The 23770-nt window shown below is 40.7% G+C and overlaps 1 protein-coding gene across 1 annotated transcript; it reads right to left on the reverse strand.

Moving 5' to 3' along the window:
• VCY (variable charge Y-linked) lies at window positions 22388–23089 on the reverse strand. The gene is made up of 2 exons (NM_004679.4): window positions 22955–23089; window positions 22388–22762 (listed from the first exon to the last, which is right to left on the reverse strand). The coding sequence occupies exons 1-2, from the start codon at window positions 23054–23056 to the stop codon at window positions 22487–22489; spliced, it is 378 nt and encodes a 125-aa protein (NP_004670.1). The 5' UTR covers window positions 23057–23089; the 3' UTR covers window positions 22388–22486.

Below are 23770 nucleotides of genomic sequence, written 5' to 3' on the forward strand. Positions count from 1 at the left end.
TTTATTTTAGATTCAGGGAGCACATGTACAGATTTGTTATAAGGATATTTTGCCTGATGCTGATGTTTGGGCTTCTACCGATCCCATCACCCAGATAGTCAACACAGTACCCTAAAGGAAGGTTTTTCAGCCCATAGCCCACTCCTTCTCTCCCCTGTTTTGAAGTCCTCAGGGTCTATTGTTACCATCTTTATGTCCATGTGGATCCAGGGGTTAGCTCTCACTTATAAGTGAGAAAATGTGATGTTTGATTTTCTGTTCTGTGCTAATTTCTTTAGGACAATGGTCAGCTGCATCCATGTTGCTGCAAAGGACAGGATTTCATTTTTTTTTTTTATGGCGGCACAGTATTCCATGGCGTATATGGATTTCTTTCTTTTTCTATTGCTGCACAGTACCTCAGGGTGTATATGCACCACATTTACAAAAATCCAGTCCACCACTGTTGGGCACCTGGGTTGATTCTGAGTCATGATGTTTGGGACCAGAAGTAGAAAGAGAGGTAGGGGGTAATTGTCATGCTACATGCCTACAATGAGTAATAGGATGCAGTGACGTTGACATCAAGCAGTGCTTATTAGTAGGAGAAGAATTTATGCATCTGGGCAGAGCAAGACCTCTAGCAGCACTGCCCCCAGCTGCCTGCCAATTTTGTAAATGGAACAAAAAGAACCTCTGTGTCTACCAATACCTCTATTTTCTTTTCCTTCCTAGAGGAGTTATCTCATTCCAATTGTCCATTTAGAGTCACATCAAAGAGCAAAACTAGAACTAAAACTAGAACTAAGAATGAAAACTAGAACTCCCATTTGATCCAGAAATCCCATTAATGGGTAGACACCCAAAGGAAACAATTTCTAAGGGCAAGAGTTTCTATGTGACCATTCCTTTACGATGAGCCTTTTTATTGGAGTAAAAAAAAAAATTACTCCTTGCCCTTCCCCACCGCCGCCACAAAAAAAATATAGTGATTTCCAATCAAGATAGCTCAGCATGTCGAACCCCTTCCACTTTAAACAGGCAGCAATGCAGGTAAATGCTATGGAGAAAATTTAGATACAGATAGGACAAAGCCAGGGGTCTGATAACAGGTCTCAACATTCACCAAGAGTTTTCTTCTGCTGAAATAACCAAGACTTCATCTTCCTTACCTAGGCGGGAGAATTGGAATAGATTTACCCAAATAAATCCAGAGGAAAGCAAGCTGAGAGAAACAGGTTTCTTACGCTGCTTGGAGTTTAGCTTATTTTAAGTGTGTAGGCTTAGGGTTGAGACACATAACCAGGAACTAAAATATCTACCTCCCTGGCTTAGTGAGAAGAGGATCAGCCATCTTCCTACTCTCATCATGGGCAGGGAATACTGAGCCTTGATACCTGATGTCCCTTTGGACTGAGGACTCTGGAACGTGGCGAAGGGAGTTAAGGAACCTAAAGACTGGAAGATTTAATGCGTGAAAGTATATTTCCTTCTTTAAGTGAAGCTGAAAATACAAATTCACAAGCATGTAGAGAAATATAAGAATATAAAGGACAACCAATAAAACCAGTGATTGCAGGATAAATATAGTCCACAGGAAGCTAAAAAAAATTGGAAATGTATCTAAGATTTTATAATAACAATTATTGGCTGGGTGCGGTGGCTCACACCTATAATTCCAGCGCTTTGGGAGGCTGAGGCAGATGTATCACTTGAGCTCCTGAGTTGGAGACCAGCCTGGGCAAGATGGCGAAACCCCATCTCTACAAAAAACACAAAAAATAGCCAGGCATGGTGGTATGTGCCTGTAGTTTGAACTTCTCAGGAGTCTGAGTTGGGAGGATGGCTTGAGCCTGGAAGGTGGAGGTTTTAGTGGGCCGAGATCATGCCACTGCACTTAAGCCTGAATGGCAGAGCCAGAACCTGTCTCAAATAAATAACCATTGTTTATGTCCAAATGTATATATGAAAGTAGTACATGATTAAAACAAAAAGACGAGAGGCCTGGCACAGTGGCTCATGCTTGTAATCCCGCACTTTGAGAAGCTGAGGCATGAGGATTGCTTGAGGTCAGGAGTTTGAGACCAGCCTAGATAACATAGGAGACCCCGCCCCTAAATAAAGAAAAGTAAATCAGCCAGATACAGTGGTGCGTGCCTATAGTCCCAGCTACTTGGGAGGCTGAGGTGGGAGGATCACTTGAGCTCAGCAGTTCAAGGCTGCAGTGAGACATGAGACCTGATCATGTCACTGCACTCTAGCCTGGGTGACAAAAGAGTGAGACCCTGTGTCTAAAAAGCAAAAAAAAAAAAAAAAAAAAAAAAAAAAAAAAAAAAGTAACTGGGGGGCCAGACATGGAATAAAGATGGATTTTAAGAAGACACCACTGGAAATATTGAATATAAACAATATATTCTTTATAGCAATAATAATTTTTTTTAAAAAAACTATGCAAGTACTAAACTGGGCAAATCCAAATACAGAATTTGTGACCAGGATAGAAGTGTGCAAAAATTACTCAGAGCCTAGCACTGTGGTAGAATAAAATAAAAAATATGAAAGAGGAGTTAAGCAATCTGGAGAATAGACAGAAAAACTACCACATACATTTAGTTAAAGTTCCAGAAGAAAATAAACATTTTAGGAAATGATAACTGGTTACTATATCAAAATTAAGAAAAGCAAAATCAGTTCAGTCAAAACTGCAATCAACTATCAAGCAGGATAAGTAAAAAACAACTAAATCCTAGACAATCATGGTGAAACTGCACAATATCAAGGATAAAGATCAAATGACTCAATGTACCAGGTAAAAAGCAGTTTACCTGAAATGAATTGCAATTACAGTGCAGCAGATTTCTAATTTGCAAAAATAATGCCAGAAGGTAATGGAAATGGAAAATATACAACTGTCTCCTCTCAGAAATTGTTAGAACAAATATGTGTTTTAAAAAATTACTAAGGGCATACAATATTTGAAAAATATGCTCAAACAACTTAATTGATGACTTAATTGAATACTCTAGCCCAGGGGTCCTCAAACCCCAGGCTGTGGACTGGTCCTGGTCTGTGGCCTGTTACACTGGGCACAGCAGGAGGTGAGCAGCCTGCAAGCAAGACTTACTACCTGAGTTCTGTCTCCTGTCAGATCAGTGGTGGCATTAGATTCCCATAGGAGCACAAACCCTATTGTGAACTATGCACACCAGAGATCTAGGTTGCACACTCTTTATGATAATTTAAGTAATGCCTGATGATCTGAGGTGGAACAGGTTCATCCTGAAACAATTTCCCACCCCACCCAACCTCATCCCTGTCTGTGAAAAAATTGTCTTCCATGAAACTGGTCCCTAGTGCCAAAAAGTTTGAGGACCACTGCTCTACACAATAGTAGAATAGATATTTTTTTCCAAAAAACAAATAAAACATTTATCAAGAGATGCTATGCTCTCAGTAAAAAAGTCTCAATTATTTTAAAATGATTGAAAATATATACAATGTATTCACTGATTTTAAAAAATTAGAAATAAATAACAAAAAGTATCTGGGAAATCCCAATATAAGCAACATGCTGCTAAAAACTTACAAGACAAAATAGGAATGACAAGGGAAATTAGAAAATATTTAAAACTGATGATAAAAGACTCAATCCATCAAAATGTGTGAGGTGCAGCTAAAGCATGCTTAGAGGAAAACTTACAGCATTAATGGCTCAGACTAGAAAATAAGAAACGTCCAAAATCAACAACTGGTGATTTCACTCAAGTAGAAAATAATGACAAATTAAACCCAAATAAAGTGAAAGACAGTAAATAATAAAGATAATATTAAAAATCATAGAAACAGAAAAAGAACAAATAATGTCAAAATCAACCAAACCAAATGTGGTACATTGAAAAAGATTATTAAAATTTATAAACCCTTTAGTTAGACTGATCCAATATGGGGCAAGGGAGGAAGGAAGAGGAAGAGAAGGAGGGAGAGAGAGAAATTGAGTGATTTATGGTATATATTTTTTTATTATTATACTTTAAGTTTTAGGGTACATGTGCAGGTTAGTTACATATGTATACATGTGACATGCTGGTGTGCTGCACTCACTAACTCATCATCTAGCATTAGGTATATCTCCCAATGCTATCCCTACCCCCTCCCCCACCCCACAACAGTTCCCAGAGTGTGATGTTCTCCTTCCTGTGTCCATGTGATCTCATTGTTCAATTCCCACCTATGAGTGAGAATATGCGGTGTTTGGTTTTTTGTTCTTGTGATAGTTTACTGAGAATGATGATTTCCAATTTCATCCATGTTCCTACAAAGGACATGAATTCATCATTTTTTATGGCTGCATAGTATTCCATGGTGTACATGTGCCACATTTTCTTAATCTACTCTGTCATTGATGGGCATTTGGGTTGGTTCCAAGTCTTTGCTATTGTGAATAGTGCTGCAATGAACATACGTGTGCCTGTGTCTTTATAACAGCATGATTTATAGTCCTTTGGGTATATACCCAGTAATGGGATGGCTGGGTCAAATGCTATTTCTAGTTCTAGATCCCTGAGGAATCACCACACTGACTTCCACAATGGTTGAACTAGTTTAGAGTCCCACCAACAGTGTAAAAGTGTTCCTATTTCTCCACATCGTCACCAGCACTTGTTGTTTACTGACTTTTTTATGATTGCCATTCTAACTGGTGTGAGATGATATCTCATTGTGGTTTTGATTTGCATTTCTCTGATGGCCAGTGATGGTGAGCATTTTTTCATGTGTTTTTTGGCTGCATAAATGTCTTCTTTTGAGAAGAGTCTGTTCATGTCCTTTGCCCACTTTTTGATGGGGTTGTTTTTTTCTTGTAAATTTGTTTGAGTTCATTGTAGATTCTGGATATTAGCCCTTTGTCAGATGAGTAGGTTGCGAAAATTTTCTCCCATTTTGTGGGTTGCCTGTTCACTCTGATGGTAGATTCTTTTGTTGTGCAGAAGCTCTTTAGTTTAATTTGATCCCATTTGTCAATTTTTGCTTTTGTTGCCATTGCTGTTGCTGTTTTGGACATGAAGTCCTTGCCCGTGCCTATGTCCTGAATGGTAATGCCTAGGTTTTCTTCTATGGTTTTTATGGTTTTAGGTCTAACGTTTGAGTCTTTAATCCACCTTGAATTCATTTTTGTATAAGGTGTAAGGAAGGGATCCAGTTTCAGCTTTCTACATATGGCTATCCAGTTTTCCCAGCACCATTTATTAAATAGGGAATCCTTTCCCCATTGCTTGTTTTTCTCAGGTTTGTCAAAGATCAAATAGTTGTAGATATGCGGCGTTATTTCTGAGGGCTCTGTTGTGTTCCATTGATCTATATCTCTGTTTTGGTAGCAGTACCATGCTCTTCTGGTTACTGTAGCCTTGTAGTATAGTTTGAAGTCAGGTAGCGTGATGCCTCCAGCTTTGTTCTTTTGGCTTAGGATTGACTTGGTGATGCGGGCTCTTTTTTGGTTCCATATGAACTTCAAAGTAGTTTTTCCAATTCTGTGAAGAAAGCCGTTGGTAGCTTGATGGGGATGGCATTGAATCTGTAAATTACCTTGGGCAGTATGGCCATTTTCATGATATTGATTCTTCCTACCTATGAGCATGGAATATTCTTCCATTTGTTTGTATCCTCTTTTATTTCATTGAGCAGTGGTTTGTAGTTCTCCTTGAAGAGGTCCTTCACATCCCTTGTCAGGTGGAGTCCTAGGTATTTTATTCTCTTTGAAGCAATTTGTGAACGGGAGTTCACTCATGATTTGGCTCTCTGTTTGTCTGTTATTGGTGTATAAGAATGCTTGTGATTTTTGTACATTGATTTTGTATCCTGAGACTTTGCTGAAGTTGCTTATCAGCTTAAGGAGATTTTGAGCTGATACAATGGGGTTTTCTAGATACAGAATCACGTCATCTGCAAACAGGGACAATTTGACTTCCTCTTTTCCTAATTGAATCCTCTTTATTTCCTTCTCCTGCCTAATTGCTCTGACCAGAACTTCCAACACAATGTGGAATAGGAGTGTTCAGAGAAAGCATCCCTCTCTTGTGCCAGTTTTCAAAGGGAATGCTTCCAGTTTTTGCCCATTCAGTATGATATTGGCTGTGGGTTTGTCATAGATAGCTCTTATTATTTTGATATACATCCCATCAATACCTAATTTATTGAGAGTTCTTAGCATGAAGCGTTGTTGAATTTTGTCAAAGGCCTTTTCTGCATCTATTGAGATAATCATGTGGCTTTTGTCTTTGGTTCTGTTTATATGCTGGATTACATTTATTGATTTGCATATATTGAACCAGCCTTGCATCCCAGGGATGAAGCCCACTTGATCATGGTGGATAAGCTTTTTGATGTGCTGCTGGATTCGGTTTGCCAGTATTTTATTGAGGATTTTTGCATCAATGTTCATCAAGGATATTGGTCTAAAATTCTCTTTTTTGGTTGTGTCTCTGCCAGGCTTTGGTATCAGGATGATGCTGGCCTCATAAAATGAGTTAGGGAGGATTCCCTCTATTTCTATTGATTGAAATAGTTTCAGAAGGAATGGTACCAGTTCCTCCTTGTACCTCTGGTAGAATTCAGCTTTGAATGCATCTGGTCCTGGACTCTTTTTGGTTGGTAAGCTATTGATTATTGCCACAATTTCAGCTTCTCTTATTGGTCTATTCAGAGATTCAACTTCTTCCTGGTTTAGTCTTGGGAGGGTGTATGTGTCAAGGAATTTATCCATTTCTTCTAGATTTTCTAGTTTATTTGCATAGAGGTGTTTGTAGTATTCTCTGATGGTAGTTTGTATTTCTGTGGGATCGGTGGTGATATCCCCTTTATCATTTTTTATTGTGTCTATTTGATTCTTCTCTCTTTTTTTCTTTACTAGTCTTGCTAACGGTCTATCTATTTTGTTGATCCTTTCAAAAAACCAGCTCCTGGATTCATTAATTTTTTGAAGGGTTTTTTATGTCTCTGTTTCCTTCAGTTCTGCTCTGATTTCAGTTATTTCTTCCCTTCTGCTAGCTTTTGAATGTGTTTGCTCTTGCTTTTCTAGTTCTTTTAATTGTGATGTTAGGTTGTCAATTTTGGATCTTTCCTGCTTTCTCTTGTGGGCATTTAGTGCTATAAATTTCCCTCTACACACTGCTTTGAATGTGTCCCAGAGATTCTGGTATGTGTGTCTTTGTTCTTGTTGGTTTCAAAGAACATCTTTATTTCTGCCTTCATTTCGTTATGTACCCAGTAGTCAATCAGGAGCAGGTTGTTCTGTTTCCATGTAGTTGAGCCGTTTTGAGTGAGTTTCTTAATCCTGAGTTCTAGATTGATTGCACTGTGGTCTGAGAGACAGTTTGTTATAATTTCTGTTCTTTTACATTTGCTGAGGAGAGCTTTACTTCCAAGTATGTGGTCAATTTTGGAATAGGTGTGGTGTGGTGTGGTGCTGAAAAAAATGTATATTCTGTTGATTTGGGGTGGAGAGTTCTGTAGATGTCTATTAGGTCCGCTTGGTGCAGAGCTGAGTTCAATTCCTGGGTGTCCTTGTTAACTTTCTGTCTCGTTGATCTGTCTAATGTTGACAGTGGAGTGTTAAAGTCTCCCATTATTACTGTGTCGGAGTCTAAATCTCTTTGTAGGTCACTCAGGACTTGCTTTATGAACCTGGGTGCTCCTGTATTGGGTGCATATATATTTAGGATAGTTAGCTCTTCTTGTTGAATTGATCCCTTTACCATTATGTAATGGCCTTCTTTGTCTCTTTTGATCTTTGTTGGTTTAAAGTCTGTTTTATCAGATACTAGGATTGCAACCCCTGCTCTTTTTTGTTTTCCATTGGCTTGATAGATCTTCCTCCATCCTTTTATTTTGAGCCAATGTGTGTCTCTGCACGTGAGATGGGTTTTCTGAATGCAACACACCGATGGGTCTTGACTCTTTATCCAATTTGCCAGTCTATGTCTTTTAATTGGAGCATGTAGTCCATTTACATTTAAAGTTAATATTGTTATGTGTGAATTTGAACCTGTCATTATGATGTTAGCTGGTTATTTTGCTCGTTAGTTGATGCAATTTCTTCCTAGCCTCAATGGTCTTTACATTTTGGCATGATTTTGCAGCGGCTTGTACCGGTTGTTCCTTTCCATGTTTAGTGCTTCCTTCAGGAGCTCTTTTAGGGCAGGCCTGGTGGTGACAAAATCTCTCAGCATTTGCTTCTCTGTAAAGTATTTTATTTCTCCTTCACTTATGAAGCTTAGTTTGGCTGGTTATGAAATTCTGGGTTGAAAACTCTTTTCTTTAAGATTGTTGAATTTTGGCCCCCACTCTCTTCTGGCTTGTAGAGTTTCTGCTGAGAGATCCGCTGTTAGTCTGATGGGCTTCCCTTTGAGGGTAACCCAACCTTTCTCTCTGGCTGCCCTTAACATTTTTTCCTTCATTTCAACTTTGGTGAATCTGACAATTATGTGTCTTGGAGTTGCTCTTCTCCAGGAGTATCTTTGTGGCGTTCTCTGTATTTCCTGAATCTGAATGTTGGCCTGCCTTGCTAGATTGGGGAAGTTCTCCTGGATAATATCCTGCAGAGTGTTTTCCAACTTGGTTCCAACTTGGTTTCCAACTTGGAGGAGGCAGTGTGCCTGTTCTCAGATCTCTAGCTGTGTGCTGGGAGAACCACTGCTCTCTTCAAAGCTGTCAGACAGGGACATTTAAGTCTGCAGAGGTTACTTCTGTCTTTTTGTTTGTCTGTGCCCTGCCCCCAGAGGTGGAGCCTACAGGGGCAGGCAGGCCTCCTTTAGCTGTGGTGGGCTCCACCCAGTTGGAGCTTCCAGGCTGCTTTATCTAAGCCAGCCTGGCCAATGGTGGGCGCCCCTCCCCCAGCCTTGCTGCTGCCTTGCAGTTTGATCTCAGACTGCTGTGCTAGCAATCAGCGAGACTCCATGGGCGTAGGACCCTCCGAGCCATGTGCGGGATATAATCTCGTGGTGTGCCATTTTTTAAGCCCATCAGAAAAGCGCAGTATTTGGGTGGGAGTGACCCGATTTTCCAGGTGCTGTCTGTCACCGCTTTCTTTGACTCGGAAAGGGAACTCCCTGACCCCTTGCACTTCCCGAGTGAGGCAATGCCTTGCCCTGCTTCGGCTCGCAGACGGTGTGCTGCACCCACTGACCCACGCCCACTGTCTGGCACTCCCTAGTGAGATGAACCTGGTGCCTCAGATGGAAATGCAGAAATCATAAGTCTTCTGTGTCACTCACCCTGGGAGCTGTGGACTGGAGGTGTTCCTATTTAGCCATCTTGGCTCCTCCCCGATTTATGGTATTAAGAAAAGAATGGAAGACATATCTAAAGTTATTACATGATATTAAGGGCATAATATGAGAAATTCATGCCAACAAAGTTAAACACTTAGATACAATGGACATTAGCAAATTACCAAAACAGATGTTACCAAACCAGAAAAGCCCTGAAATTGAATTTGTAATTAGAACCTTCTTCCAAAGAAAATTTAAGACCAAAAACCTCATTGATGCATTCTAAGAAAAATCAAGAGAAGAAATAATATGAAACTTTACAAACTCTTTCAGAAAATAAAAGAGAAAACACTATATCATATATTTTAATAAAAGTGGCATAACTCTAATACCTGAAAAAGACAAGAATTGTTTATGAAATGAAACAAACACCAAAATCCTTAACAAAATTATATTCAGTATTAATTAAGAATAAAGAAGTAATATATTTGGCAAAGTGAGATTTATTCTTTATTCCACAAATGCAAGGTTAGTTCAATACTAACAAGATCAATCTGTTTAATTTGTTGTATTATTAATATAAAAGAGAAAAACATAGTAATTTCAGTAGAGGTAGAAAGGGCTTTTGATAAAATTCAAGACCCAGTTATGATTTTGGAATTTTTATTGTGAAAGACCAAATAGTTTCCAGTAAAACAAGGGATAAAAAGACTATTTGCTCTCATTTTTATCCAATGTTGTATTGGAGGTCACAGTGCAGTAATGCAACAAATTCTATTATGTAAGGTAAGGTGAGAATATTAAATCGATAGAGGTTAAGATTCCATACTTGCAAATCATGTAGAAAATGCTTAGGTATATAAACAGCTATTAGTCTTTGTATTAGTCTGTTCTTGCATTGTATTAGTCTGTTCTTGCATTGCTATAAAGAAATACCTGAGACTGGGTAATTTATAAAGAAAAGAGTTTTAATTGGCTCATGGTTTGGCAGGTTGTACAGGAAGCATGATGCTGACATCTGCTTGGCTTCTGGGGAGGCCTCAGGAAACTTACAATCAGAGCATAAGGTGAAGGGTAAGCAGGCTCATCTGACATGGCCGGAGCAGGAGGAAGAGAGAGAGGGAGGGGAGATGCTATATTCTTCTAAATAACCAGATCTCACAAGAACTCACTATCATGAGAACAGCACCCAGGGGAATGGTGTTAAACCATTAATGAGAACTCTACTCCTATGATTTAATCACCACCCACCAGGCTCCACCTCCAACACTGGGGATTACAGTTTGACACGAGATTTAATGTTTCATGGGAACATAGATCCAAACCATATCAGTCTTTTATTTTTTTATTTTTACATTTAAAATTTTTATTTTTTCATCAGTTTTTGGGGTACAGGTGGTATTTGGTTAAATAAGTAAGCTTTTTAGTGGTTATTTCTGAGCTTAATTAGTGAACTCAGCTTAGATACAGAATACAAGATCAATTACCAGTGTTAGTGCTATCTCAATATACTAGTTATAAACAAACAGAATTCTAAAGACCAACATACTATCTACTGGTTACTACAGTCAATAATAATTTAACTGTACATTTTAAAATAACTTATAGAGTATAATTGGATTGTTTGCAACTCAAAGGATAAATGCTTGAGGGGTGGATATCCCATTCTTCATGATGTGCTTATTTCACATTGCATGCCTATATCAAAACATCTCATATACGCCATGAATATATACACCTACTGTGTACCCACAAAAATAAAAAAAATACCATCTACCATATCTACCATAATATCATAACACATAAAATATTCAGGATAAATTTAATAAAAGTTGAGCAAAACCTCTACTCTGAAACTTTAAAATATTTCTAAAGGAAAATAAAGTATACTTAGGTAAATAAAATGATCTATCATGCTCATGGATTAGAAGACAATTATTAAATCTCATCTTCAACGATTATGCAGAGAGAGACCGCAATTCTAATCATATTTCCAGGAAACGTTGACAACGAATTCCTGAAATTTACATGGAATTGCAAAGGACGTAGGACAGCCAAAACAACCCTTGAAAAACAAGAACAAAGAGAAGTCACATTAGCTGTTTTCAAGAGTTGTTATAAAGCTACAGCCATCAAGACTGAACCAGGACCGCGTGGAGTCAGCGGCAGGACCTGATAATAGACTCCGGGAACAAAACTGAGTGTTCGGAAACAGACTCACACCCACATATGTACATATGGGGAAACGGAACAGTACCAAAGTAATTTTATGGGGAGAAGGAAAGACCTTCCAAAAAAAAATAATAATGGGGCCGAGATGGAGTAAGCCATCTGCAACTGCCGTCTGTCAATTACAGTAAAATTTCTGGACAAAATACAAAAAACCAAAATGCAAGCCCTTTAAGGAGCACACAATAGCAAGCACACTGGGAACTAAAATCAAAACGTCATTAAGGCCCCATAAGAGGACTGAGTTTCCCATTTTTCCATGCTTGGTCTCCCAGCATTGAGCAGAAGGCAGACCCCGGCTTGGAATTGAGCAGTGAGTGCTGACAACATCACCTTAGGAGAAACCCCCTGCTTACAGCCAAAGGAAGGGCCTCCCATGCGCCAGAATGTGGAGGGAATCCATGTTTCTTCCCCCTTTGCTTCTTCTTGCTCTCCTCTCTCTTGGCTAGTCCAAGTTCAGCAGCTGCACAGCGATGGAGGCGGTGGGGCAACTATAGGACCATCAGCTCAACTCCAAGGCAAGATCTCTCCAGCCCTCACTCAGAGGAATGAGGAAAAGGGCCCCATTTCCTATAGAGTCTGAGGGAATACCTGTTGTCATTTTCTCTTTTTTTCCTTTCATTTTCTTTATTTTTAAAATCAAGTTACATTTTTTAAGTTGACAAATAATAATTGCACAGGCATATGGGGTAGGTAGCAGTGTTGACACATACACAACGTGGAGTGATCAGATCAGGGTAATTAGCACATCCATCATCTCAAACAGGTACCATTTCTGTGTATTGGGAACATTCAATATCCTTTCTTCCAACCATTTGAAACTATATAATTTATTATTGTTAACTATAGTCATCCTACAGTGGTACAGAACAGGAGAATGTATTCCTCCTATCTAGCCATAATTTTGTATTCTTTAACAAATCTCTCCCTATCCCTCTACCTCCCCTACCCTTCCCAGCCCCCTCTCTTTTATCTCTTGCTGCTTTACCCCAAAGGTAGCCCTGGTCACACAGAACAACATGTACTAATGGCGAGTGAACCTTTAGGAGAAACCTGTCTTTCTGACCAGAAGGGTCAGGTAAAAGGGCATTTGGGAGCCAGACTGTAGGGTAGGCTTGGCAGATTTTGGAAACAAAAATATAAGATTCTAAGTAAAATCAGAATTTCAGATAAACCTTGTTATATTTTTAAACTTGTTAATGTATTTTCCATGCAATATTTGGAAAAATATATATATATATATAAAACTAAAAATTCATTCATTATTTATCTGAACTGGTCATCTTGTATGTTATCTGGTGATTCCACATGGGGTTAATTCCAGAGAGGAAAGTGCTAGAGAAGGGTGTCCCCCATTTCTGTGGACAAACTCACTGGAGCCTGGTCTCACTCCAGAGCTGTGCATGCCTGGAAAGTCCCAAGGAAGCAGAGTAAAGACTTTGAGAACTTCACTGCCATTCAAGCCATCTCCCACTTCCAGCCTAACCTCCAAAGAATACGTGTGCCAGGCCATCTCAAACAGCCCAGCAGAGCCTTTAGAAACTGATTTGTCATTGGAGCTGCCACACACAGAATGCAGAAACAAATGTAAGTCTGAACCTAACCGATTGTATGGCAATTCAAACATGGATTTAAAATAATTGGTGATCAAATAACAATTGGATATCTACATGGAAAAATAATACACCTGAAAGCATCAGATATGAAAACAGAATATCTGAAGTCATAAAACTTCTAGAGCAAAACAAAAGAATATGATATGATGCTGAGGTTGTCGAAGATTTCTCAGATTGGGTACAAAATGCATTAATTACAATGGAATAGTTAACAAATTCTGTTTTAAAAAATAAAAAACTAAATTGTACTCATTAAAATGTCTCTAAAAATAAAAAATAACACATGAATAGCAGGAAATAACTACACTACATACAACTGACCCACGTCTTGCCTTATAATTATGTATAAACAATTTCTATAACTTAAGAAAAAAATAATGAGATAAGGGCTTACTCAGATACCGCACAGGGAAAGATATCACAATGGTCAAGAGAAAGTACTTACCATTGTTATTAATTAAAGAAGTGCAAATTTAAATACCAGAGAGATGCCACTACAATGACAAAAATTAAAGAGGCCAAGATGATCAAATTTTGGCAAAGCTGTGGAACGTCCACAACTCTCCCATGTTGTTGGTGGGGTTCATACATGGGGTTCATGCTTTCCAAAACATTTTGACAGTTTCCTATAAAGTTAAACATACACACACTATGATCCAGCAATTCCATTCATAAGTAATGATCTAAGAGAAAGAAAAATCTATGTCTACACAAAGACTTGTTCTTGCAAGTCTTTTTCATAACAGCCACACACTGTATAAAATGTAACATCCATCCACAGGAGGATGGATGAGCAAAGGGAGGTACATCTGTGCACTAACTGCTTCTCAGGAGTAGGAAACAATGAACCATGCATGGATACACACCGTGGCATGGGTGAGTCTCAAGATCACTGTGCTTGAGGGAAATAAGGAAAACACAAAAGAGAACCTGCTGTGAGAGTATATTTCCTGGGTATTCAACAACAAGCAAAATTAACCTATGGTGAAAGAATCGATCAATTGTTGCCTCTGGGGCAAAGGGTAAGGAGAAATTAATTAGGCAGGTTCACAAGGGAAGCTTCCGGGTGATGGAGTGTTCTGTGTTTTGACATGGGTATATATGACAGGTATATGAATTTGATGGAATTTCCCAAATGATAGCACTATGTCAATTAAAAAAAATAGAAACATTGAAAATGGGACTGATATGGTTTGGCTGCCTCACCACCCAAATCTCAACTTGAATTGTATCTCCCAGCAGTCCTGCGTGTTGTGGGAGGAGCTCAGGGGGAGGTAATTGAATCATGGTGGCCGGTCTTTCCTGTGCTTTTCTTGTGATAGTGAATAAGTCTCACAGGACCTGATGGTTTTATCAGGGGTTTCTGCTTTTTCTTCTTCCTCATTTTCTCTTGCTGCTACCATGTAAAAAGTGCCTTTTGCCTCTCACCGTGACTCTGAGGCATCCCTAGCCATGTGGAAATGTAAGTCTAAGTAAACTTTTTCTTCCCAGTCTCAAGTATGTCTTTATCAGCAGCATGAAAACGGACTAATAAGGTAAATTGGTACCAACAGAGTGAGGAGTTGCTGAATAGTTACCTGAAAAATGTGGAAGCGACATTGGAACTGGGTAACAGGCAGAGGTTGGAACAGCATTTTCAGCTTCAGTTCCATGATGAAATCATTGTCTGGCTGTACTGTTAAGTGAAGAGCATTAGAGAGCAATAGAAGCTCACATCATTGTGAGGTCAACATTAGCGCATGGACAGGGTGGGACAGAGCTTTTCAGTGGCATATATCACACTGCCAATATAGATCCTCACTGAGGTTACCAAAAATGTTACTCTCTGTGTGCTTCTGTAAGGCTTGAATAATTGTTACTCAATCTTGGATTACTGTTGTCACCAGGAAAAAATTGAAGAATAAAAACCATCTGTCTTGAGGCAAATTGTTAAATATACCCAAGTCAGTTTACTTAAAAAGTAATCTAGGACTTGTTTTAAAATAACTGAGTGGGGCAGGGGACGGGTCAGGTTTGGAGAGGGTAACAGGTGAAATGGAATTAGCTGTCTTTTGTAGTGGTTGGAGCTGCACGATGAAAACATGGTGATCACTATAGTAGTCCCTCCACCTTTGTGCATGTCTCACAAGTTTCAAAACCCTCTCACTTTGTAGGATGTCAGAAACCACTCCTACAGGATAGATGGACCTGAGTACATCATGCTTAAGTGAAACAAGCCAGTCACAGAAGGACAAATGCTGCCAAATTCTACTTTTATGAAATATCTAAAATAGTTAAACTCACAGAAAGTAGAATGGTCATTGCTAGGGGCTGGGGGAGGGGAAAATGGGGAATTGAGGTGCAATGGGCATGGAGTTTCAGTCATACAAGATGAGAAAGTGAATTAGTGTTCTCTAGAGGGACAGAACTAATAGGATAGATGTATACATGAAGGGAGTTTACTAAGGAGTATTGACTCACATGATCACAAGGTGAAGTCCCATGATAGCCCGTCTACAAGCTGAGGAGCCAGGAAGCCAGTCCAAGTCCTAAAACCTCAAAAGTAGGGAAGCCCACAGCACAGCCTTCAGTCTGTCTGTGGCCAAAGGCCAGAGACCCCCTGGCGAAACACTGGTGTAAGTCCAAGAGTCCAAAAGCTGAAGAACTTGGAGTCTGATGTTTGAGGAAGCTTCCGGCAGAGGAGAAACATGGAGGCCAGAAGACTCAGCAAGTCAGCTTCTCCCACCTCCTTCTGCCTGATTTGTTCTAGCCATGCTGGCAGCCAACTGGATGGTGCCCACCCAGACTGAGGGTTGGTCTGCCTCTCCCAGTGCACTGACTCAAATGTTAATCTCCTTTGTCAACACCCTCACAGACACACCTGGGAACAATACTTTACATCCTTCAATCCAATCAAGTTGACAATCTTAACCATCCCAGAAAGTTGTAAGGATCCACTATAGCACAATGGGCATGTAGTTAACAATACCGTACCATGCACCTCAACATTTGTTAAGAGTGTATATGTCGTGTCATGTGGGTTTTACCACAAGTTTAAAAATACTCCTGAGTATCTTATTCCATGTAATCAACACCTTAGCAAACCTTAGTACTTCACTGCCCTTTCCTGGCTGCATGGCGTATCAGAGAACGTGTGGGCTTTGGAGTCAGACAAGCTTCGGTTCAAGTACTAGGTGATCTGGAACAGGTTACTTACCCTGGCTGGTCCTCAGGGTCATCTTTTGTAAACTCAGGATGGAATAAGACAGCCCCATCTATCTTCCAGCACCATTCTAAGGATGACTCATAGGCATTTCTCAGTCCTGGCAGTGATTATTATTTTTTGATTAGCATGTAGCCCACTGCCTGGACCATAGTAGATGCTCAATAAATGTTTGTTGAATGAATAATTTAATTCATTAATGAATTTTTATTTTATTTTACCCTGCTCCTTACCAATTTTTTAGTGCAATTACTCTTATCTAGTTTTGAGTTGTATCCAAATTCTCAGTCTACTTAAGATTCAAAATTACATATCAGCTTGCTGGGCTAGCACTTTTCCTTACATCTCTCCCTGAAGGGTCCTCAGTTCTGTTTCTTTTCTATGTGTCTTTTTTCCCACTTCCATGGACCTGTGTCCAGGGCCCCTTGCCCCCAAAGCCCTTCAACTAGTTATTCTCCAGCAGAACATTTTTCTGCCAGTAAAAATATTTTCTTTCAGGAATTGGCTAAAAGCTGTTTTCACAAAAACTTCCCTATATGAATTGAGCTTATAATTAACTTACTCTTTCTTAGGACTTCTGCAGAACTTATGTACACCTAAAGCATACCAATTCACACTTGGTTCTGGGGTCTAGAGTAGAGTCACAGAAACATGACTCCTGTCATGAATACAAGCTAGGATGTGGTCCCTAAAGTAGGAGATGTGTCTCGAATGCCCCTTCAATCCTCGTGCAGTGTCTACTATGGTGCTTCCACAGCATTGAGCAGCAGTCCTTAGGAGAGTGGAGTTTAGAATTTGATCTTTGCAGACCTGAGTTTTAATCCTGGCTCTATAACCTATAAGCAGTATAAGAAAGGTACCCAAACTGTCTGTTTCATTTGTCCAGTGGGGACACTACACATTTTACAGGGTGTGATGGTTAATTTCAGGTGTCCATATCACTGCCTTAAGGAATATGTCAGGAATTGGTAAAGCATTGTTTCTGGGTGAGCCTGCACACATATTCCTGGGAAGATTGGTGTGAGCTGGTGGACAGAGTGGGGAAGATGTCTTCAATAGACACAGGCCCCATCCAATTCTCTGAGGGCCCAGTTAGAAGAAACAGGGCAGAGGAAAGGCAGTTTCTTCCCTTTCCCTCCGGGAGCTGAGACTCTTCTTTTCCTGCTCTTGGACATCAGAACTTCAGGCTCTTTTTTTTTTGAGACAGAGTCTCGCTCTGTCACCCAGGCTGGAGGTGCAGTGGTGCGATCTCAGCTCACTGCAAGCTCCGCCTCCTGGGTTCCCGCCATTCTCCTGCCTCAGCCTCCCAAGTAGCTGGGACTACAGGTGCCCGCCAACACGCCCAGCTAATATTTTTGTATTTTTAGTAGAGATGGGGTTTCACCGTGTTAGCCTGACCTCGTGATCCACCCACCTCGGCCTCCCAAGTGCTGGGATTACAGGTGTGAGCCACTATGCCCAGCCCAGGCTCTTTTTATACTGAGAGTTACACTATCCACTTCCCTGGTTCTGAAGTTTCTGGGTGTGGACTGAATCACACTCCTGGCATCCCAGGGGCTCCAACTTGCAGACAGCCTGTCCTGAGACTTTTCACCCTCTAATTACCCTAATAAATCCCCTCTCATCTATCTTCACTGATAACCTGTTGGTGGTGTCTCTCGAGAGCTCCCAATTAATTCATAGGAGTAATGTGAGGGAGAAATGAGGTCGTGCATGGGGAGCATTTCACACCCTGCCTGACACATGCCCAGGTCCAATAGGCTGCAGCTGCAGTTATTCTAGACCTTAGCATCAGTGATCAAAACAGCGGAAGGCCTTCCCTCTGGTACCCAGCCATCACGTTGAGCTTCTCCTGTCATTTTTCAATTCCAGAGTGTTTTTTGAGAGCAATTATGTGTCCCGTGTATCACTGACATGGGGGTCAAAAACAATCCGTATGCGTGGGGATCTGAAGCTGGGAATGAGCAAATGTCAGAAATAGGAGTCAGGAGCAGAGGAAGCTGCATGGTCAAGGGGAATCGACATGAGCCTTCCTGCCATGTGCCGTATTTCCTGCGGTCTAATGAGACAGAGACATATGTATGTATACATCATCTCATGCTTAGCTCTTTAATATGTACAAGGTGTTTTCAAATTTTCCCACCAACTGTTTCGACAGTTGAGAATCTCAAGAACACCTGCTGTTCATGACTGTTGTCAAGGGGATCCTCCCTTTAGGGACACAGGAAGATTTGCCTATAATGCCAGGAAGCTTTGATATCTATTATTTTATTACAAAAATCAACTACAGCTTTGCTGCTATATTACTTCGGGTCTTTACTCTTTCCACTGTTTATTTTAAGCCTCAGCTTGTGGATAGTTGGAGAAGGAGGGAAAATATTTAACACTCTTATTAACTAATTTAACTATGTATATAACATGTAGAATGAAGAAAGACTTAAAGGAAGAGGTAGTATTTGTGAATGCTCCAACAAATTAAAAGATTATTTAAATTATTGATTTCTGATTAAACCATTTATTATCTATAATGAATTAAAGCAGTTTGTGAAAATAAATTCAGTGACATTTTTGCATCTGTAACTTCAAAATCATAGTCACTTTTCAAAGCCAAAAATTCCTGAAGCAGAAGTCTGCCAATCATCACAATAAAACATGAAGCCCTAGTCAGGATGGGTTCCCAACAAATAGCAGTTGAAGCTCCAACTGCCATGAAATCATGAAAGAAACACGGTTTAAGTGCCATGGATAATTTTTTTCAATGCCAAAAGAATCATCACAGACTGTTTTGCGTTGCAGAGTTTGAATGGAAACACAGCATTAAAATAAGGTGCACAAAATTAATTCTTGAATATAATTTTAAAATAAAATGCAATGTTGCTCCACAATATTCATCAAATCCAAAAGTGGCCACTGACAAGATTCAGTTTATTTCAGTTTTTATGCTGTCATTATGTAAAAAAACTATAGCAGGAAGTTCACAAATTTCCCTTTGGAAAGAGATACACAACCACAGACAATAGGCTTTCTTAAAAGACAGCAGCTTTTCATTCCGACTTGTTTCCCATCCATAACATGCAAGTATTTATTGTTCAGGGTCAATACAGCCTTGCAAATAAACAGGCTTTGAGTTATACCAAGCATGCTCATTCTTATATGGTATTTCCATATAAGAAATACAAAAGAAATATACCACAAAATGATGGTGCTCAGGCCATGGGGCAACGCCGTTTCTGTGGTACAGCGTCCTAGGTTTCCTAAGATTCCATAGGAGGCAGCTACAAGTTCGACATGCAAAGCTCTGAAATCTCTCCCTAAGCTAATGAAGTGAAGCCATGACTGCACGAAGGAAAGGATGAAACAGAACTAATTTATTGTTTCTCAAATGATGCTACCATCTCTTCTAAGCCGCCATTAATTTAACATCTTTAAAGCTATAAGAACAATCTATGTAATAAGTGAAAACTGCCTATAAAATTAGTGCTTTACATCTCAAACCCTTATTATACGGAAATTCATATTTTCAGAATCACATAAAAGTTTAACGTGCTATTCATTGTAAGATTTAAGGACATGAGTTATTCTGTCCGTGTAATTACTAACAACTGGAAATTAAATCGTGATGATTTTGTACTTTATTCTTCTTAAAATGATAATTTCCTTTCTCCTTTTTCCTGAGAAACATGCTTCAACAATACTAACAGCTTACCTTCCAAAATAAATGATCACATATAGAATAGTTTATATATAATATATATTTATATTTATACATTATATATTTATGTATTATATAAATATAAATATGCTTACATATTTTATAGATGTCTAAATATTTATATAGAATATAAATATTTATATATAAACTATATGTGAAATTTATCTATATAAATATATAAAATAGATATATAAATACATAAATATATATTATATGTATATAATAGAGACAAATATGAATTATATACACATATACACATTAGAAGCGCAACGATCTTTTCTGTATATAGTAAAGACATGTGTGTTTATATAAAAACCTGTGTATTTATATAAATATAAATACAGATTATATATATACACACATTAGGAATACAGTAGTAAATTCTACCATATATAGAAAAGAACTGTGCATTTGTATAATTATATATAAATGTAGATTACATATATGCACAATAGAAATACACCGGTCTCTTCCATAAATAGAAAGTTCTACTATATCATACTCTCATTGCAATTATTGACAGCTGGGTATTCCATCGTGATAATTTTGTACTTTATTCTTCTAAAAGTGATAATTTCCTTTCTCTTTTTGCCTGTGAACCATGCTTCAACAATCATAACACCTTAACTTCTAAAATAAATGATTATATATAATATATACATATAAATATGTTTTATATAGATATTTATATATAAAATATATATCTATATATCAATATTTCTATATACAATCTATATATAAATATAAAAATATGAAAATACATGTTAATATATAAATATATGGTAGGTTCTAGTATACATAGAAAAGACCTGTGTATTACTAAAGTGTGTATATATAATATATATTCATATATATTCATATTTATGTATTTTATATATAAAGATAAATTCCATATTTGTATGTTTGTATTTATATATTTCATATATAAATACATAGGTTTGCCTACAATAAATATAATTGTATATTTTACTTACATATATTTATGTATATTTGTATATAGTAAATTCTACTATATACAGAAAAGTCCTGTGTATTTCTAATATATGGAAATATGAAATCTACTTCTTGTCTCCACAGTTGCAAAAAGGCTTTTTTCAAGTAGATAGATATTGCTCTACTTTGAATTTTTCTTCTTAATTATATTAGATTGTAGGGAGGGGACCCTGAAAGGAAAGAGATGGAAACCATTGTACCATCAGTTTATATTGAGGAAAAGGTATTTTAACAATGAAACCTAAGTAGGTAGAATCCAGATCCTGGTACTTGGTGCTTGTGCTGGCAGGATTGCAAGAAAAAATAAACCCTAAATGAAGCAGAGTCATCCTGTGAGGGGGAAATTTGTCTCCAGTGCTCAGCCATGACGCAAACCTTATGCTCCTGTCTGGCAAACTGTGACCTCTCCCTCTGCCCTCAAGCCCGCAAGACCCCACTTCCCTCCCTCCCCGCACAACACCTCTTCCTTCCTTCTTTCGTTTCTCGCTCCCCACTCACCACCTCTTCCCCCCTTCCTCCCTCCCCACAGGCCACCTCTTCCTCTCTCCCTCCCAACACACCACCTCTTCCTCCCTCCCTCCCTGCATACCACCTTTTTCTCCCTCTCTCCCCACACACCACCTCTTCCACCCTTCCTCCCTCCCCACAGGCCACCTCTTCCTCCCTCCCTCCCTACACACCACCTCTTTCTCCCTCTCTCACTCCCCACCCACCTTCTGTTCCTCCCTGCCTCCCGACCCACCACCTCTTCCTACCTCCCCGCCACACACCTTTTCCTCCCTCCCTCCCTACACACCACGTATTCCTGTCTCCCTCCCCACACACCACGTCTTCCCCCCTGTCTCCCTCCTGACACACCTCTTCTTCCTCCCTCCCTCCCCACACACCTCTTCTTCCTCCATCCCTTCCCACACACCTCTTCCTCCCTCCCTCCCCACACACCTCATCTTCCTCCCTCCCTCCCACCCCACACACCACCTCTTCCTCACTCCCTCCCCACCCACCACCTCTTCCTCCCTCCCCACACACCACCTCTTCCTCACTCCCTCCCCACCCACCCCTTCCTCCCTCCCCACACCACTTCTTCCCTCCCTCCCCACAAACCTCCTCTTCCTCCCTCCCTGCCCACCCACCACCTCTGCCTCCCTCCCTCCCTCCCTACACACCACCTCTTCCCGCCTGCCTCCCTCCTGACACACTTCTTCCCTCCCTCCCCACACACCACCTCTTCCTCCCTCCCTCCCCACACACCACCTCTTCCTTCCTCCCTCCCCACCCACCACCTCTGCCTCCCTCCCTCCCCACACACCACCTCTTCCTCCCTCCCTCCCCACACACCTCTTACCCCCCCCTCCCTCCCTCCTCACCATCAGAGAACACGGAGTCACTCAGATCGGTTTGCAACACATTCATTTTATTGTCATCAACATGGGAAGCACCCTGCTGGTGAGATCTCTGAGGTCTGGCAGCTGGGCCTAAACTTAGTTGCTGCTCAGGGAGATAGGGGAGTAGATGGGCGCCCCTTACTCAGTGGTTCCTCCAGCTCGCTCTCCTGACTCAGGGGGTCGTGCTGGGTCCCCTCGCTCACTGGCTCCTCCGGCGGCAGCTCGTGCTGAGGGAGCTCCTGGCTGGGCTGGTCGCTGGGGCCGGGTGCCGCTGGCCCGCTCTCCGCCTCAGGTGCCGTCACGGCCGCCATCTTTGTCGCAGCCCCTTTCTTCCCGCGTCTCCCTCCACGAACTGCTTCTCCCTTCTCGGCCACCTTGGTAGTCTGGAAGGACAACAGGGAGATCACAGAAGGGCTCTGGTTTAGGGACGAGGATGGAGGAGGCTGGGAACAGGGACGTGTCCTCAGAAGCGGTGGGGGCCGGGTTGGGGGGTTGTGCCAAGTGAGGACAGGAGAGGCTTCTTGTGAGGAAAGAGGCGAGGGGAAGACGAGGAGGAGCTTGGGAGGGTCACTCACCTTCTTCTTCGGGCCACTGGGGCTCGGCTGAGAGGAGGACTTCCTCTTTCCTGTCTCCTTGGCCTTGGCCGGAGGTCCCGAGGCTCTCGGCTTTGGACTCATCTGCCGCAGCTCAACGTCTCGCAACGGTCGACTAACTCCAGGCTGCCTGGCCTCCCTGTGTATACCCCTCTCGCGATCCCAGGACGAGACGATCACGCCCCTGAGCTGTGATTGGTCAACACTCCACTACCCAGCCAATGGTAGCCCTGGGTGGGAAGGAAGGCCTTATACGTCATAAAGCACCATCAGGACATGGCGGATGAAGTCGGGGGCGGGGGGGGGGGGCGGTGACATCTAATGAGGAAGGCAGGGTGCTCTAGTTGGAGAAAGGGAGATTTGGGTTAGCACCCCTAAAGATAGTTCCCAAACTGACATGTCGCCCCTCCTAAACTCCCCATGTTCAGTTTTGGCAGATCATGTGGCAAGGGAGGATATTTCCCCCACATGTTTCCCCCGGAACCCCCATTCAGTGGTACATTCTGTTCCTCCACAACTACCATCATTACCCAGTTTCTGTATGTCCTACCTAAAATCCCTCCATGCTAACTGGGATGGATGGAGGGCTGTACGAAGACGTCAGTCATCCCTCTCTCCTACAAATTCCTCTGCTACACCTTGAGGATCATTCACTTCTTGGCTGCCATGGAACAACTTTTCCATCTCACATGCTTCTCCCAGCATCCACATAGTGCCTCACAATTTTTCATTCTCATGGTTTAAAGCACTGGCTTCCAGAGGTCAAGATTAGCAAACACACTAGCTCAGCTGGGTATC

The sequence above is a fragment of the Homo sapiens genome, chromosome Y, assembly GCF_000001405.40.
Source record: "Homo sapiens chromosome Y, GRCh38.p14 Primary Assembly".
Taxonomy (NCBI): domain Eukaryota; kingdom Metazoa; phylum Chordata; class Mammalia; order Primates; family Hominidae; genus Homo; species Homo sapiens.

Coding starts and splice junctions, on each gene's coding strand:
- VCY (NM_004679.4), bottom strand. CDS start 23,056: ATGAGTCCAAAGCCGAGAGCCTCGGGACCTCCGGCCAAGGCCAAGGAG. Junction 22,763..22,954: donor CCAGTGGCCCGAAGAAGAAG/GTGAGTGACCCT, acceptor TTGTCCTTCCAG/ACTACCAAGGTGGCCGAGAA.